Consider the following 16,544-nt stretch of genomic DNA (forward strand, 5'->3'; position numbering starts at 1 on the left):
GCCCCTCTCCCCTCCCTCTTTCTAGTGACCAGCCACGATCCTGAAGCTGCCTAGAGGTGGCTAGCCATCAGTCAACTCATTAGTATACAAAAAGACACTTACGATAGCAAAAGGGACTAAGACTAAGTATGTATTTCATAATATTAAAATTACTAAAAGACTTTTTTCCATGGCAAAATTGTGTTATAAGGCACAAAAATTGTTTACCACGCTTGAAATTTAGACCAAAAAGCCTTGTGGAAATGGCATAAATAGCAGTTATGTAACTTGGGGGAGTTTTTCTGATCCATATGTATAGTTTAATATGAGAAAATGAAGGAAAAAGTACAGATACATTTAAGTTCACAGTTTGAAGTACAGGTTGAAGGCCAGGTGTGGTAGCTCATGCCTGTAATCCTAACACTTTGGGAGGTAGAGGTGGGAGGATTGCTTGAGCTCAGGAGTTCGAGATCAGCCTGGACAACATAGTGAAACGCTGCCTCCAAAAAAATAAAAATAAAGTACAGGTTGATTATCTCTTGTCCAAAATGCTTGCTATCAAAAGTGTCTTGGATTTTGGATTTTTTCGGATTTTGGAATATTTGCTTTATACTTGTTTATATTTTTTACATTTATATTTAAATATTTCAGATTTTCAGATTTGGAGTGCTTAACCTGTAGTGAATGAGGCTATTGGAATGGGGCATTTGGCTATATTGTAATGTATGTGAAATAATAATCAACTTTTTAAAAACAAAAAAAGACGGGGTTTTTATTCCTTTCAAACTACTCACCTTGAGAGACCGGATCATGATATCAGAGATCCTTTCTTTGTATAAAATTTTCTGGGTTTCCTTCAGGATTTTTTTTGTTTTGTTTTTTTGAGATGAAGTCTCACTCTGTTGCCCAGGGTGGAGCGCAGGGGCACGATCTTGGCTCATCGCAACCTCCACCTCCCCAGTTCAAGTGATTTTTGTTCCTCAACCTCCCAAGTAGCTGGGATTACAGGCACCTGCCGCCCATGGCATCATGCTAGGCCATAGAGAACAAAGGAAACATAATCTAGACTCCAGGAAACTCAGATAGCTATATGACATGGTCATTAAAAACATGGGTTTTGAATTAAATCACATTTCAAGTTTTGGCTAAACCAATTAGTTAAGGAATTTTGGACAAATTATTTAAGATCTTCATCTGTAAAATGGGAAATAACACTTATCTCATAGAGTTGTTGTATTCAATTCTTTCAATATGATGATACACATAAAGAGCTTATCACAACATATATTTGTCTGTCTGTTTTTTAGAGACAGGGGCTCCCTGTGTTTCCCAGGCTGCAGTGCAGTGGCCAGTCACAAGGTTGATCATAGCACATTGTAGCCTGGAGCTCCTGGGATCAAGCAATCCTCCTGCCTCATCCTCTGGAGTAACTGGGACTGCAAGTATACATACCGTGCCTGACGAAATATCACAATATTTGGTGCGTGGTAAGCCCTCAGTAAATGTTAGCCACTAGTATGATATTCTTTAGAATTAACTTCAATCATCATCTTTTCATTAAATTTTTGGAAGTAGACAAAATTCATATGGAGTCAAATTTACTGAGTAAGGTTAGTGATCAAACTGGGAAAATAAAAACAAAGTGTACCTGAAGCGATGGACCCGATTTTCTTGTGAGACTTAAGAATTAGTTTGAAAGCAGAATCCAAAGAGGAATTCCAAAAATTGAATATATTAATAGATTATATTAGTGTAATCTCTCCTTTATATACTGTATAAGTTCTGTAGGGGAGGAAAGGGAGTAATTCCTTTCTGGCCCATCATAAAGGTCATGGCCAACACCCCTGTAACAAAGACAGGTTGACTAGAGAAAAGCATAGCAAATTTATTCGATCAAAGCTTTATGTGTCATGGGAGCCTTCAGAATGAAGACCCAAAAAATGCAGAAAAAATTATCCGTTTTTATGCTTAGGATTAGTGAAGTGTGGACAGCTGTATAGAAATAGGATTGGACAAAATGGGTATGATCTAACGCTAATAGACTGAGTGAGGAAACTCAGCAACACCTACCTCTCCAGATTTCTCTTGGCCTCTCTGTGCAGCATTCCTTCCTCCTGGGTATTGGGTAGGACCCCTATGGAATGAGAGTCTTAATTTCTTTATGGCCAGCTGTTAGAAAGCTGGGAGTTTGCAGGAAGTTTCTGTATAATCACAGCTTATATGTACCCATATGCTTGTGAAGTTATATTATCTTTTAATAGAGATATGAAAAACTCAAAATGTTCTTCCTACTGCCGTACCACACAGTACAATACTTGTGACATCAGACATGTAAGGGTTGTTGCCCCATACACCAGATACTTCTTCAGTGGACACCAGCTGCATGTCCTCTTATTCAGTTCAATTCTGACACTGTCTGCCTGAAGATAGCATCAGATCCCACAGGTTAAGGACTCAGTCCCACAAGAGTGCCACCAACTTCAGATGCCCATTACAAGTAGTAGATTGCCACCTATACTTCTGACCACCAAGCTATAAATTGGGACTCCCACTGCCCCCTCCTTGGGTTCAATTAATTTGCTTGAGTGGGTCACAGAACTCAGAGAAATACTACTTACATTTTCCCATTTATTATAAAGGATATTACAAAATAAACAGCCAGAGGAAGAGTTGCATAGGGCAAGGTACGTGGAAAGGGGTATGAAGTTTTCATGCTCTCGCCAGCATGCCATCTTCCAGACACCTCCACATGTTCAGCTAATTGGAAGTTCTCTGGACCCTGTCCTTTTGGGGTTTTATGGAGGCTTACTTATGTAGGCGTGATTGCTCACATCATTGGCTACTGGTTATCAAATCAATTTTAGCTGCTCTCCCCTCCTTAAAGGTTGTGGGGTTGGGCTTAAAGTCCCAACCCTCTAAACATGCCTTAGTCTTTCTGGTGACTGGCCCCCATCCCAAAGCTGTCTGGGTGTCACCAGTCATCTTATTAGTAAACGAAAGACACTCTTATCACTGTGGAGAACCCAAAGGTTTTAAGAGCTATGTGATAGGAAACAGGAGGAACATCAAATATATAGGTTAAAAGAGAAATTATCAACACATTAAATTTAACAGTTTAATTGAACAAAGAATAGTTCACAAATTGGGCAGCCCTCAGAACCAGAAGAGATTCAGAGAGATCCATTCTGCAATGTAGGCAGGCAGCATTTATGGATAGAAAAGGGAAGTGAGGTACAGAAATAGCTTGATTGGTTATAGCTCTGTGTTTACCTTATTTGAACATGGTACGATCACTTGACTGCCTGTGATTGAAGCTCAGCTGCTATGATTGGCTGAGACTCAGCTATTACAAAAACATACTCCTAAGTTAGGCTTTCAGTTAGTTTACCTTCTAAGTTAGGTTGCAGTTCATTATGTAGAGACTTAAAGTACAGAGGCACTTTCAGGCAAAATTTAGTTTAATTTAACATACAGTCATGTGTCCCTTAATGACAGAATTTGCTCTGTAAGATGCGTTGTTAGACAATTTCATCATTGTACAAACATCATAGAATGTACTTACACAAACCTAGATGGTATAGGATAGCCTGTTGCTCCTAGACTACAAACCTGTACAGCATGTTACTGTACTGAATACTTTAGGCAGTTGTAGCACCATGGTAAATATTTGTGCATCTAAACATAGAAAAGGGGCTGGGTGTGGTGGCTCACACTTGTAATCCCAGCACTTTGGGAGGCCAAGGCACGTGGATCACAAGGTCAGGAGTTCGAGACCAGCCTGGCCAATATGGTGAAACCCCGTCTCTACTAAAAATACCAAAATTAGCCAGGCGTGGTGGCACGTGCCTGTAGTCCCAGCTACTCAGGAGGCTGAGGCAGGAGAATCGCTTGAACCCAGGAGGTGGAGGTTTCAGTGAGCCGAGATCGTGCCACTGCACACCAGCCTGGGCGACAGAGGGAGACTCCCTCTCAAAAAAAAAAAAAAAAATAGAAAAAGTACAATAAAAATATGGTATAAAATGTAAAAAAAGTATACCTGTATAGAGCACTTACCAGATGAATGGAGCTTGCAGGACTGGAAGTTTCTTTCCCAGTTAGTCGGTGAGTGAATGTGAAGGTGTAGGACATTACGGTACACTACTGTAGACTTTATAAACACTGTACACTTAGGCTACACTAAATTTATTAAACATTTTTTCTCTCTTCAATAGTAAATTAGCCTTAGCTTGCTGTAATGTTTTTACTTTATAAACTTTAAACTTTTTAAAAACTTTTTGACTGTTGTAGTAAAACTTAGCTTAAAACAAACACATTGTACAGTTGTACAAAATTAATTTCTTTATAACCTTATTCTATAAGCTTTTTTCTATTTTAAAAACTTTTTTACTTTTTAAATGTTTTCTTAAAAACTGAGACGCAAACACACACATTAGCCTAGGCCTGTAAGGGTCAGGATCATCAGTATGACTGCCTTTCATATCTTGTTCCACTGGAAGGTCTTCAAGGGCAATAACATGCATGGAGCTGTCATTTCTTATGATAACAGTGTTATGTTCTGGAATACCTCTTGAAGGACCTACCTGCCTGAGTCTGTTTTATAGTTAACTATTTTTTAAAAAATAAATAGAAGGAGTACACTCTAACAATGAAAAGTATGGTATAGTAAATACATAAGCCAGTAACACGGACATTTATTACCAAGTACTATGTACTCTACATAATTGTATGTGCCAGGCTTGTGTACACCTTGTAGCACAGTAGGTTTGTTTACACCAACATCACTACAAACATGTGAGTAATGTGTAGCACTATGACATTATGACATATATGATGTTACTAAGTTATAGGAATTTTTCAGCTTTATTATAATCTTACGGGACCACTGTCATGTATGTGGTCCGTTGTTGACCAAAACATTGTTATGTGATGCGTGACTGTATGTATTTCACAATATCACATATATGAAGATGTTTGTCATTCCACTATCCCTTTCTAATATCAATTTATATAGCATTAAGACTTGAGCTACTCTAAATCCTTGGATTAAAAACTACTTTAACCTAATATCTTATTTCATTAAATTTTTTTTCTAAAAAATAATTTCTGTTTTCACATTTTCAGCAGTGACTATAGGGGAAATTAAGGTACTAAGCAAAGATAGCATCATTATTAATGTAGCCTTGCTCGAGATCTATACATCTTATAATATTTTTTGTCCAAAAGTTTGTAAAGTTTATAATTTTTGTACTGTTTTTAGACTAAATGTACTTATAAGAACAACTGTGTATCATGAAAATCATTTTTGCATACACCTAACCTTGCAAATGTAGGACTCTTGATGTTAAGGACTAGTATTGCTCATGCAGACATTTTTTGTTGAGATACTAACTAGTACATTTTACATTTTATGTTATTTATGATTAACTCATTCAATAAATGTTAATTATTTACCATTTGCTAGGCTCTGTTCGAGGCCTACAGTGTGCTATATACTGTACGCACACTGTAGGCACAGCACACTGTATGCCTAGGATAGAAGAGGATGTCATTTTTTTTTTTTTTGTGAGATGGAGTCTCGCTTTGTCACCCAGGCTGGAGTGCAGTGGCGCGATCTTGGCTCACTGCAAGCTCCGCCTCCCAGGTTCAAGCTATTCTTCTGCCTTGACCTCCTGAGCACCTGGGATTCCTGGCGCTTGCCACCACGCCTGGCTAATGTTTTGTATTTTTAGTAGAGACGGGGTTTCACCATGTTAGCCAGGATGGTCTCGATCTCCTGACCTCGTGATCTGCCCGCCTCAGCCTCTCAAAGTGCTGGGATTACAGGCATGAGCCACTATGCCCGGCTGAGGATGTAATTTTTAAGGACTAATCAAGTCACAGTGCTAAACCATTCTGAGCCTTAATGGTCATGAACTTTACCTTTCTTTCATATAGGAAAAGAAATATTTTTATATGAAAACATTTAAAGGAATTTGACCAAGGTCTCTTTCATTAACAAATGCTTTAGTTCCTTCTGGAAGATCTATACTTCAATAAAATTGATTTTGTAAATAAGAATAGTAGACACTGAAGTTTGAAGTGATCAGATGTTTTTCATATAGCATGAGACAAATATGAATGGATTTCAGAAACGATATTTAACAAAAAAGGCAGATTTAAAAGATATTTTATGGTTTCATTTCTCTAAAGTTCAAAAATAGTTCAAAAATCTCTGGTGTTGGAAGTCAGGATGGTGATTCCCCATGTGTGGGAGTTAGTGACTGGAAGGGGGCATGAGACGACTTCTGGGATTCTGGAAATATTCTGTTTCTTTACCTGGATGCTGATTACATAGCTTGTGTTCACTGCATAGAAATTCATGAAGCTATATACACTTATGATTTATGTACTTTATGTATGATACATTGCAATAAAAAATATGCATACAGAGAGAGAGAGAGAGCACATGCATGAAAGAGCACACTGTTGAAAGTATGGTTTTTAAACAGGGTGAATTCTAGTTATAAGATGTTAGATGTATTCATGACCTAGACACCATGGAGCTGCTGGGAATTCAGAGATTACTTCTCCACTTGTGGTTGTTACATTCTGAGCAAGCAAAAGATATATAGTAGGTATATTCAGTGTAATAAACAGGGAGGATTCATTCTGTAGGAAGAAAGTAGATTTCTGGAAAGTCTTCACAAGAAAAGTAACAGTTTAATTGGTTGAGAGAAATAAGAGGATGTTTAATTCCCTTTAACGAATTCCCTTTAAGGAAAGGGAATTTCATGAGCAAAAACTCATGATGTGTTCAGGCAATGACAAAAAGATGACTAGAGCAATGGTATGTGGTGGGGAGGCCAGAAAGTTTGGGCCAGACTGTGATGAGTCCTGTTTGTAGTGCATGGTGCCAAAATGTTTAGACTCATAGGCATTGGGAACCATTACATTTCTTTTGTTTTTATTATATAAGTGGGTCAAAGGTAGAGGATGGATTGAGGATAAAGGAGAACTGGAAGGAAGGTGGTTCTGAGAGTATCTTAATAGTCTAAGCAAGAGAGGATAAAAGTTGAATCTAGGGCAGTAGCTGTGACGATGGATAGAGACGAATTTCAAAATATTTTGGAGATAGAATCAATATTGTTGGACGATGGAGAGGGATGACTGGAAGATAACTCTATTCATTCATTTATTCAACAAATATGTATTGAGTTCCTGCTAGGTACCAGGCACTATGCTAGACTCGGGAGACAGTGTAAACAAAACAGACAGGCTCTCGTGGAGCATACAGTTCAGAATGGAGACAAATGTTAAGCAAAATGACATAAATGTGTAATTTCAAACTGATTATGTGAGGAAAAAATACAAATTCATTGAGAGTATAGAACCGGGGACTTCACTTCATCTGCCCTGCACTGGAGGCTTTCCTGAAGAAGCAACAGTTGAGCTGATCTCTGAAGGAAGACTACAAATTAACATGGTAAAAAGAATGAGATCAAGCATTATTATTACTGTGAGGAGGCCAGTGTGACTGGAGCCCACAATTGAGGGAACGAATGACAGAGGTGAATCTAGAGCAATAGGGACAGATCATGGGGGACCACCTTGTAGGTCATGGTAAAGATTTCCTTCATTACAGACTGCTGGATTTACTTTTTTTTTTTTTTTTTTTTTTCCTGAGATGGAGTCTCGCTCTGTTTCCCAGGCTGGACTGCAGTGGCGCGATCTAGGCTCACTGCAGCTTCTGCCTCCTGGGTTCAAGAGATTCTGTTGCCTCAGCCTCCTCCCCTCGACCCCAAGTAGCTGGGATTACAGGTGCATGCCACCACACCTAGCTAATTTTTGTATTTCTAGTAGAGACGGGGTTTTGCCATGTTGGCCAGGCTGGTCTCAAACTCCTGACCTCAGATGATCCACCTGACTCGGCCTCCCAAAGTGCGGGGATTATAGGCATGAGCCACCGCTCCTGGACTGGATTTACTTTTTAAATAGATCACTCTGGCTATCTGACTGCAATGTAATGATGGAAGAATAAGGCAAGAGAGCTTGTAGACAGATCAGTTAGAAGCTGTTATAGTAGTTTGATGAGGGCTTGGATTAGAGTGCGTGAGAGTGAAAATGGAAAGAAGCAGACTTAATTTGAGAGGTTATTTGGGAGTAAGAATTAACAGGATTTAGCGATTGACTGAGTATGGGACAAGGGAAGAGGGAGGTGTCAGGAATGACTCCCAGGTTTTTGGCTTATTCCAGCGAGCAGTGTTCAGTATTTAGGGAACACTGGAAGACGAAAAGGAGAGTGAGAGGAGGAACGGGGTAAATAAATTCAATCTGGACTGAGTGTAGGATGCCAATGAGATATCACGTAGGCAATTGGAAATAGGAGTCTGGAGCTCAGAGAAAGATTGGATTGAGGTTATAAATATCGGCTGGGCATGATGGCTCACACCCATATGTAATCCCAGCACTTTGGGAGGCCAAGGCACGTGGATCACCTGAGGTCAGGAGTTCGAGATCAGCCTGGCCAACATGGCGAAACCCCATCTCTACTAAAAGTACAAAAATTAGCCGGGCATGGTGACAGGCGCCAGGAATCCCAGCTGCTCGGGAGGTCGAGGCAGAAGAATAGCTTGAACCTGGGAGGCAGAGGTTGCAGTGAGCCGAGATCGCACCATTGCACTCCAGCCTGGGCGACAAGAGTGAGATTCTGTCTCAAAAAAAATAAAAAATTAAATAGAGTAAACACATGGCATTGGGAACCATGGGTGTGCATTAATTTGTCCAAGATAAGATTAGACAGAAACTAGAAGGGACCAATGAGGAGTTCTGATGTTTAAATTACACTGCAAGGAGGAACAAAAGCCAGCAAAGGAGTCCATGGAGTGGCCAGGGAGGCAGGAGGATACCAGGAGAATGCGGTGTCCCAGAAACCAAAGGAAGAAACTTTGAGGAAGGAGAGAGTGCTCATCAGTATTAAATACTGCTGGTTGCCAAATATTCCAGCTTCCTGCATTCTAGGACCCCGTTATGTGGGTAAAAGGGGCCTTGGGACTAGTTTGGTTCAATAAACAGAACAGGAATGACAACACTTCCAGCTGGAGCATGTGTCAATTCTATCCCCTCTGGAGATCCCTTTTCTCTCTGGCAAGGTCATCAGTGATGTTTGATACAGTGTCTGCTCCATCAGCTTGGAGTAGTATGGGTCCTAGCATTTATGGCCTCTGAGTTTATAACTTTATAGACCTGAAGGTTCTAGAAAGAATAGTTTTGATAACTCTTAAAAATTAATCTTGTTGAATATACTGAAAACTCTTACAGGTTTTGATGAACACCTGGCTTTATTCTTGCAATGAAGAAAGGTTCTCAACAAAAAATATTCTCCAAAGCAAAGATACCATCATCATCTCACTCTCCTATCCCATCATCTATGTCCAATATGAGATCTAGGTCACTTTCACCTTTGATTGGATCAGAGACTCTACCTTTTCATTCTGGAGGACAGTGGTGTGAGCAAGTTGAGATTGCAGATGAAAACAATATGCTTTTGGACTATCAAGACCATAAAGGTATCACTTTTTAATCTAAGAATTGGTCTGACCACATACTTCAAGTAGAGATGGAAAATTTTCGGCTTGCATTTTTGGTCCAACTGTAACATTCTGGTACTAATTTGATCTATTGTTTTTATTAACAGAAATTAAGGACTGTAAGGACAGTTGGAGGATTGAGGTTTCTGGGTGAGGGTAAAGATGTCAGTGGATTCAAAGAGGGAGTTTTCAGAAAGAGGAAGCTTTGTTTCCTGTGGTAGGAGAGTGTCTTAAAACTCATCCCAAAACTTGCCATCCTCTTTGGTTAAGGGGAGGGAAGATCTGTTCACTTCAGAGTGGAGCGCCTTAATTCAGTAAAAAAACGTTATACATACTTGGCCTATGCCAGTCTTCTTATTAGCAAACTGCTTATCTGTGAATGGACTGATTTCCACATATGGGACATGTATGTATGTTCCACTAGTGTTTTAGTTTTTTCTTAAAATCATCTGTTAGTCTAGGAATCTGTTCTCAAAAGTGCATTGTTGGGGGTATAGCTTAGTGGTAGAGCATTTAACTTCAAAAGTAAGTTATTCTTTGGTAAGTCATGAAATAATAGCCATTAAACTCTAATCAGGTTTTATTAGCATTAACAACACTGAGTTTATACTATATCTTTGCTGCAAGTTGGCATATTGTTATTTCTAATTTGATTAATATTTTAGAATGTTATCAAATTTAGAATATTAATCAATTTTCTTTCCAAGAACAAGCCAAGTTAAATTTAAATATCTTTTTATTTTGCACCAAAATAAATTTAATACTAACTTGTAAATAATCTTAGAGAATCTTTGGCTCACAGCCTGGATCTCAACCCAGGATTAATTTTTTCTGACTCGTAAGGCAGGAACCAAGAGGTGATTTACTTTTTAGGGCTACTTTTGTAAAATGTAATGTGGCATTAACAGTCTTTGACAACAATATCCAGGAAAGTTATAAGACCAGATTTGCCATCCATCAAGTGACTGCTCTAGCTCTATAAAATATGTTGTGATTTTCTCTATTTAAAAGTGCAACAAATTTAGAGTTTCTTACCATAAAAAAATAGGAAAAGAGGATTTTTAAGAATTTCAGTGTTTCTGAACTTTAGATTGGAATTTTCTAAAAAAACAAACAACTAAGTATTACCAGTTTATTTTTAAAAACTAACACGAAAATATTGCTGAAAACTTCATATAGTTAAAAGTGCAAGTTTTATATTCCTCTGACTGGATTCAAGTTCTGGATTTGTGCCTTAATTAGCTGTAGGATCTTGAGCAAATGATTTTTTTTAGTAAGTGATGATATTAATAATTTCTATCTCAAAGGTTTGTTGTATAAATTAAATTTTAAAAATGTAAACCACTTAGCCCAAAGCTTGGCACACACCAAATATTTATAGTGTGTATAACCATTATCATCTTTGTATCATTATAGTTACTACATTACAATACGTTATAGTATTACAATACATTAATTGTAATATACAATACATTATAGTTATTACATTATAATACATTATAGTATTACAATCATTACATCATTATTTCATTATAATTATGAAATGCTATGAAGTAAAATATTATTAAAACATTATGATTAGAAATAGCCAGCTTTTTTGGTATATTCATGGCTTAATTTTTGTTTTTGTTACATAACATCAAAACAACTTGTTCTTTGTGATATTCATGTCTTTCCTCTACTGATGATGATCTGTTTCTATAATTTCAGGAGCTGATTCACATGCAGGAGTTAGATATATTACAGAGGCCCTCATTAAAAAACTTACTAAACAGGATAATTTGGCTTTGATAAAATCTCTGAACCTTTCACTTTCTAAAGACGGTGGCAAGAAATTTAAGGTAGGTTACCAACAATTTCTGAGCATAGATACTGTTTTTAACTTTTCTGTGCTTTAATACTGCGAAAAAAAATTATCCTAATGTCACCTAATTTGTGGCAGACCTTTTATTGTTTCCAGTGAATGTTCTAAATCAGAAGTATATGACATTTCCAAATTAATAAGTTTCTATTACTCAATATTCTTACAACATTGACTCTGTAGAGAAGGGGTTGGCAAAGTACAGCTTACAGGCCAGATCAGGCCAGCTATCTATTTTTGTAAGTAAAGTTTTATTGGAACACAGTCACCCTTATTTGTTTACATATTGTCTGTGGTTGTTTTTGCACTACAGTAGCAGAGCTTAGTAGTTGCCACAGACTATATGGCCCGCAAAGCCAAAAACATTTACTATTTGGCCTTTGTATTCGTTCATTTTCATGCTGCTGATAAAGACATACCCAAGACTGGGCAATTTACAAAAGAAAGAGGTTTAATTGGACTTACAGTTTCACGTGGCTGGGGAAGCCTCACAATCGTGGTGGAAGGCAAAGAGGAGCAAGTCACGTCTTACATGGATGGCAGCAGGCCTAAAGAGAGCTTGTGAAGGAAAACTCCCCCTTATAATAACCACCAGATCTTGTGAGACTTACTATCACGAGAACAGTAGGGGAAGGACCTGCCCCCATGATTCAATTATCTCCCACTGGGTCCCTCCCACAACACATGGGAATTCAAGATGAGATTTGGGTGGGGACACAGCTAAACCATATCAGCCTTTTACAGAAAATGTTTGCTAATTCCTGCTCTAGAGTGTTTACAGCTTCATTCATAAACTATACAACATGAACACATTATAATAGACAACTTAATTCCTTTAATTGGAAGAAAAAAACCTTAGATTTCTACCACGTATTATTCACAAAAAGTATTTCCAGAAGGGTGAAGAACTAAATGAAAACAAAGCAAAATGAAAACACCAAGTAACAGAAATGCTATAAAAGTATTAGAGAGAGTATATGAGAATATTTTTAAAATCTTAGAGTGGTGAAGGTCCCCCTAAGCAAATACTAACCCTAGTACCACAAAGGAAAAATATTGACAGATTTAGCCTGCATAAGACTTAAACATTGTGTTTAATGAAAGATGTATTTTAATAAGTTAAAAGAAAAGCAGCAGCCGGGCGCAGTGGCTCACACCTGTAATCCCAGCACTTTGGGAGGCCGAGGTGGGCAGATCACCTGAGGTCAGGAGTTTGAGACCAGCCTGGGCAACATGATGAAACCCCATCTCTACTAAAAATACCAAAAATTAGCCAGGCGTAGTGGCGGGCGCCTGTAATCCCAGCTACTCAGGAGGCTGAGATAGGAGAATCACTTGAACCCAGGAGGTGGAGGTTGCAGTGAGCCAAGATCGCGCCATTGTACTCTAGCCTGGGCAACCTAGATGTTCATACAGCTGGCTTCTTGTTGTTAAGGTCTCAACTTAGTGAGGTCTTCTCTTTTTTTTTTTTTTTTTTTTTTGAGACAGGGTCTCACTCTGTCATCTAGGCCGATGCCCTCTCTTACCACCCAATCACAATTAGTCACCCTCTCCTCAGTCGCACTCTCATTCTTTTAGTCAACAAGTATTTATTTAGCACCAGGCAGTAATGCTAGAGTAGTGAAACACAACGGGCAAAATATATATATTTATATATAAATATAAATATATACATATTTTATAGATTTTTATAGCAAACATGTATTGCTTATATATTTATATATGCTTATATATAAATATATACATATTTTATAGATTTTATAGCAAACAAGATCTTCAGAAAATAAACAGTGCTAAAAAGGAAATAAAGACATCTTGTGACAGAATGCAAGGCACCAACAGGGCAGATTTTGCCCATTGTGTTCACTACTCTAGCATTACTGCCTGGTGCTAAATAAATACTTACTTGTTGACTAAAAGAATGAGAGTGCGACTGAGGAGAGGGTGACTAATTGTGATTGGGTGGTAAGAGAAGGCATCAGCCTAGATGACAGAGTGAGATATAGATAGATAGATAGATAATATATATCTATATATATATAATATATATCTATATATATAATATATATCTATATATATAATATATATCTATATATATAATATATATCTATATATATTATATATATCTATATATATAATATATATCTATATATATAATATATATCTATATATATAATATATATCTATATATATTATATATATCTATATATATAATATATATCTATATATAATATATATCTATATATATAATATATATCTATATATATAATATATATCTATATATATAATATATATCTATATATATATAATATATATCTATATATAATATATATCTATATATATTATATATATCTATATAGATATGTAATATATATATCTATATATATATATATTTTTTTTTTTTTGGAGTCTCGCTCTCTTGCCAGGCTGGAGTGCAATGGCGTGATCTCGGCTCACTGCAACATCCTACTCCCTGGTTCAAGGGATTTTCCTGCCTTAGCCTCCTGAGTAGCTGGGATTACAGGCACGTGCTACGACGCCCAGCTAATTTTTTTTTATCTTTAGTAGAGACAGGGTTTCACCATGTTGGCCAGGATGGTCTCGATCTCCTGACCTTGTGATCTCCCCTCCTCGGCTTCCCAAAGTGTTGGGATTACAGGCATGAGCCACCGCGCCCTGCCATATATTTATTTGTTTATTGTCTGTTTCTGTGATTGAGAACAAGAACTTTGTTTTCTTTATTCACTACTTTGTTTCCAGTACCTAGAACAGCTCCTGGCCCATAATCCATGTTTGATAAATATTTGTGGAATGGGTGAATGAATTATAATCTTGGAGAGAACCATTTGATGTGGTAGAAGATATATTGCCTTACCAATACAGGTTGAGCATCCCAAATCCAAAAATCTGCAATGCTCCAAAATCCAAAACTTTTTGAGCACTGACCTGATGCTCAAGGAAAATGCTCATTTGAGCATTTTTGGGTTTTGGATTTTTTGATTTGTGTTGCTTAACCAGTAAGTATAATGCAAATATTTCAAAACAAATCTGAAATCTGAAACTCTTTAGGTCCCAAGCATTTTGAATAAGGTATAGTCAACCTGTAGAATAGGAATGAATGGAAGACAGAATGAACAAATGTAGACAATTCGTGTGAGAACATTGGTGGTAGATAAGGAAGATAAGATGATAGCTTCATAGTAAAACAAGTTTAGTCCTAGGTGATTTATATAGAAGAAATCTGAACATATTGAATATAAACTCTGGGCAGCAGGGAAGAATTATCTAGTTCACGCCATATTCCCATTACCTGGTGCAATGCCTCATATGTAGTAAGTGTGTAATGAATATATGTTGGAAAATGACTGCTTTTAAACTTGAGGGGAAGATCCAGGAGGGAGAAAGAGGTTGAATTTGCAAGGGCATTGGGGGAGGAGGTGAGATCATGCAAGAGCATAAGTACTTGATTTAACTTGAAAAAGAAGACATTGTGGCTGACATGGTGAAACCCCATCTCTACTAAAAATACAAAAAATTAACCAGGCTAGGTGGGACGCGCCTGTGGTCCCAGCTACTCGGGAGGCTGAGGCAGGAGAATCGCTTGAACCCGAGAGGCAGAGGTTGCAGTGAGCCAAGATTGCGCCACTGCACTCCAGCCTGGCCAACAGCGAGACTCGGTCCCCGCCCCCTCCCCACCCCCGCAAAAAAAAAGAAAAAGAAGAAAGCTATCTCTCTTAGTCTCTTAGTCCATTTTCTGCTGCTGTAACAGACTACCACAGACTGGGTAATTTATAAAGAGTAAAGATTTCTTTGGCTCACCGTTCTGGAGGCTGGGAAGTTCAAGATTGAGGTGCTGCATCTAGGGAGGGCCTTCTTGCTGCGTCATGACATGGTAGAAGGCATCCCATAGTGAGGCAGAGCAAGAGAGCAAAAGATCCTGAGACACAGAGAGAAAAAGGAGACTGAACTGTGATAATTAATCCACTCCCAAGATAATGGCATTAATTCATTCCTGAGGGCAGAACCCTCATAACCTAATCACCACATGAAGGTCTCGCCTCTCAGAACTGTCACAATGGCAGTTAAATTCAACATGAGCTTTGGAGGGGACACTAAAACCATAGCACTATCTTTTGGAAGAAAGGAGGGGAATGAGAGGGAGAGGTATGGCAAAAGTGAGGTAGAGGGAATGACAGTGAGGGAAATCTTGTTGGATAGTCTTGAGCTTCTTAGTATATAGACAATGTTGTTGTCAACTGAAGGGCAAAGAGAGTTTGGTAGCTTGAGTAGAGTTATTACTCCTAGTCAAGGAGAGCTGCATCAAGGGATTCTCCAGGAGAGCAGTAAGGGTATATTATTTTCTGATGACTGATCAAACAGACCCTGATGCACATAAGTAAATGTTGTACTTTATGTCAAGTCATCTGTTGTGTAAAGTATTCATTCATTTGTTTCCAATTAGTATATTGAGAATTTGGAAAAATGTGTTAAACTTGAAGTACTGAATCTCAGCTATAATCTAATAGGGAAGATTGAAAAGTTGGACAAGCTGTTAAAATTACGTGAACTCAACTTATCATATAACAAAATCAGGTGAGTTATATAACAAAATCTTTAGGCAGCATTGCAGATAGCTTTGTTAGAGAGGTAGATTAATGTTATCCACATTACTGAAAGAATGATTTGACAGAAACAGAAGATATTTTTATCTTTATTCATCAATCAAATGAATGTCTGTCTCTTCACATATGGTAGGTAACTGTCTTTATGTTTTGGCATTACTGAAGTACAGAATAACATCTAGCATTATCAAAGAGATATATTTTTGAGCACCAAATTGTATCTTAATTTCATTTCTGACAGGAAGTTTTCCCAGATATTGTCTGTGATTTATTACCTTATTACATTAAGAATGTTGACATGAAGCAGAATGTTTTAACCCTGCCATTTTGACCCCCAAGATGTTCTAATCTGTTTTGATTCTGATGTTCTTTGCTTATTGCTACAAGAAATATGCTCTCAATCCTGTTTCCAATTCATAATATATATTACTGTGAGAAATAAACATACTAAAACTGACACTGGCTAAAACTTCATATAGAAAACTTGTTATAGACAAAATGATACAAGAATCAAAT

At 37.6% G+C, this 16,544-nt stretch overlaps 1 protein-coding gene across 41 annotated transcripts in view; it reads left to right on the top strand.

The window, feature by feature from the left end:
* CNTRL (centriolin) overlaps positions 1-16,544 on the top strand; it is a 102,656-nt gene that overhangs the window by 4,065 nt on the left and 82,047 nt on the right. For 25 of the 41 annotated variants that reach the window (XM_047422667.1, XM_047422671.1, XM_047422669.1 and 22 more), the window contains exons 2-5: positions 1,287-1,459; positions 9,277-9,524; positions 11,256-11,386; positions 15,869-15,999. In XM_047422667.1, the coding sequence (XP_047278623.1) occupies positions 9,308-9,524; positions 11,256-11,386; positions 15,869-15,999 (479 nt within the window). In that variant the 5' untranslated portion in view covers positions 1,287-1,459; positions 9,277-9,307. Of the gene's footprint in view, positions 1-1,286; positions 1,460-9,276; positions 9,525-11,255; positions 11,387-15,868; positions 16,000-16,544 lie in introns of those variants that run through there. The other 16 variants (XM_047422668.1, XM_011518167.1, XM_047422682.1 and 13 more) reach the window with 3 other exon arrangements.

The sequence above is a fragment of the Homo sapiens genome, chromosome 9, assembly GCF_000001405.40.
Source record: "Homo sapiens chromosome 9, GRCh38.p14 Primary Assembly".
Lineage (NCBI taxonomy): Eukaryota > Metazoa > Chordata > Mammalia > Primates > Hominidae > Homo > Homo sapiens.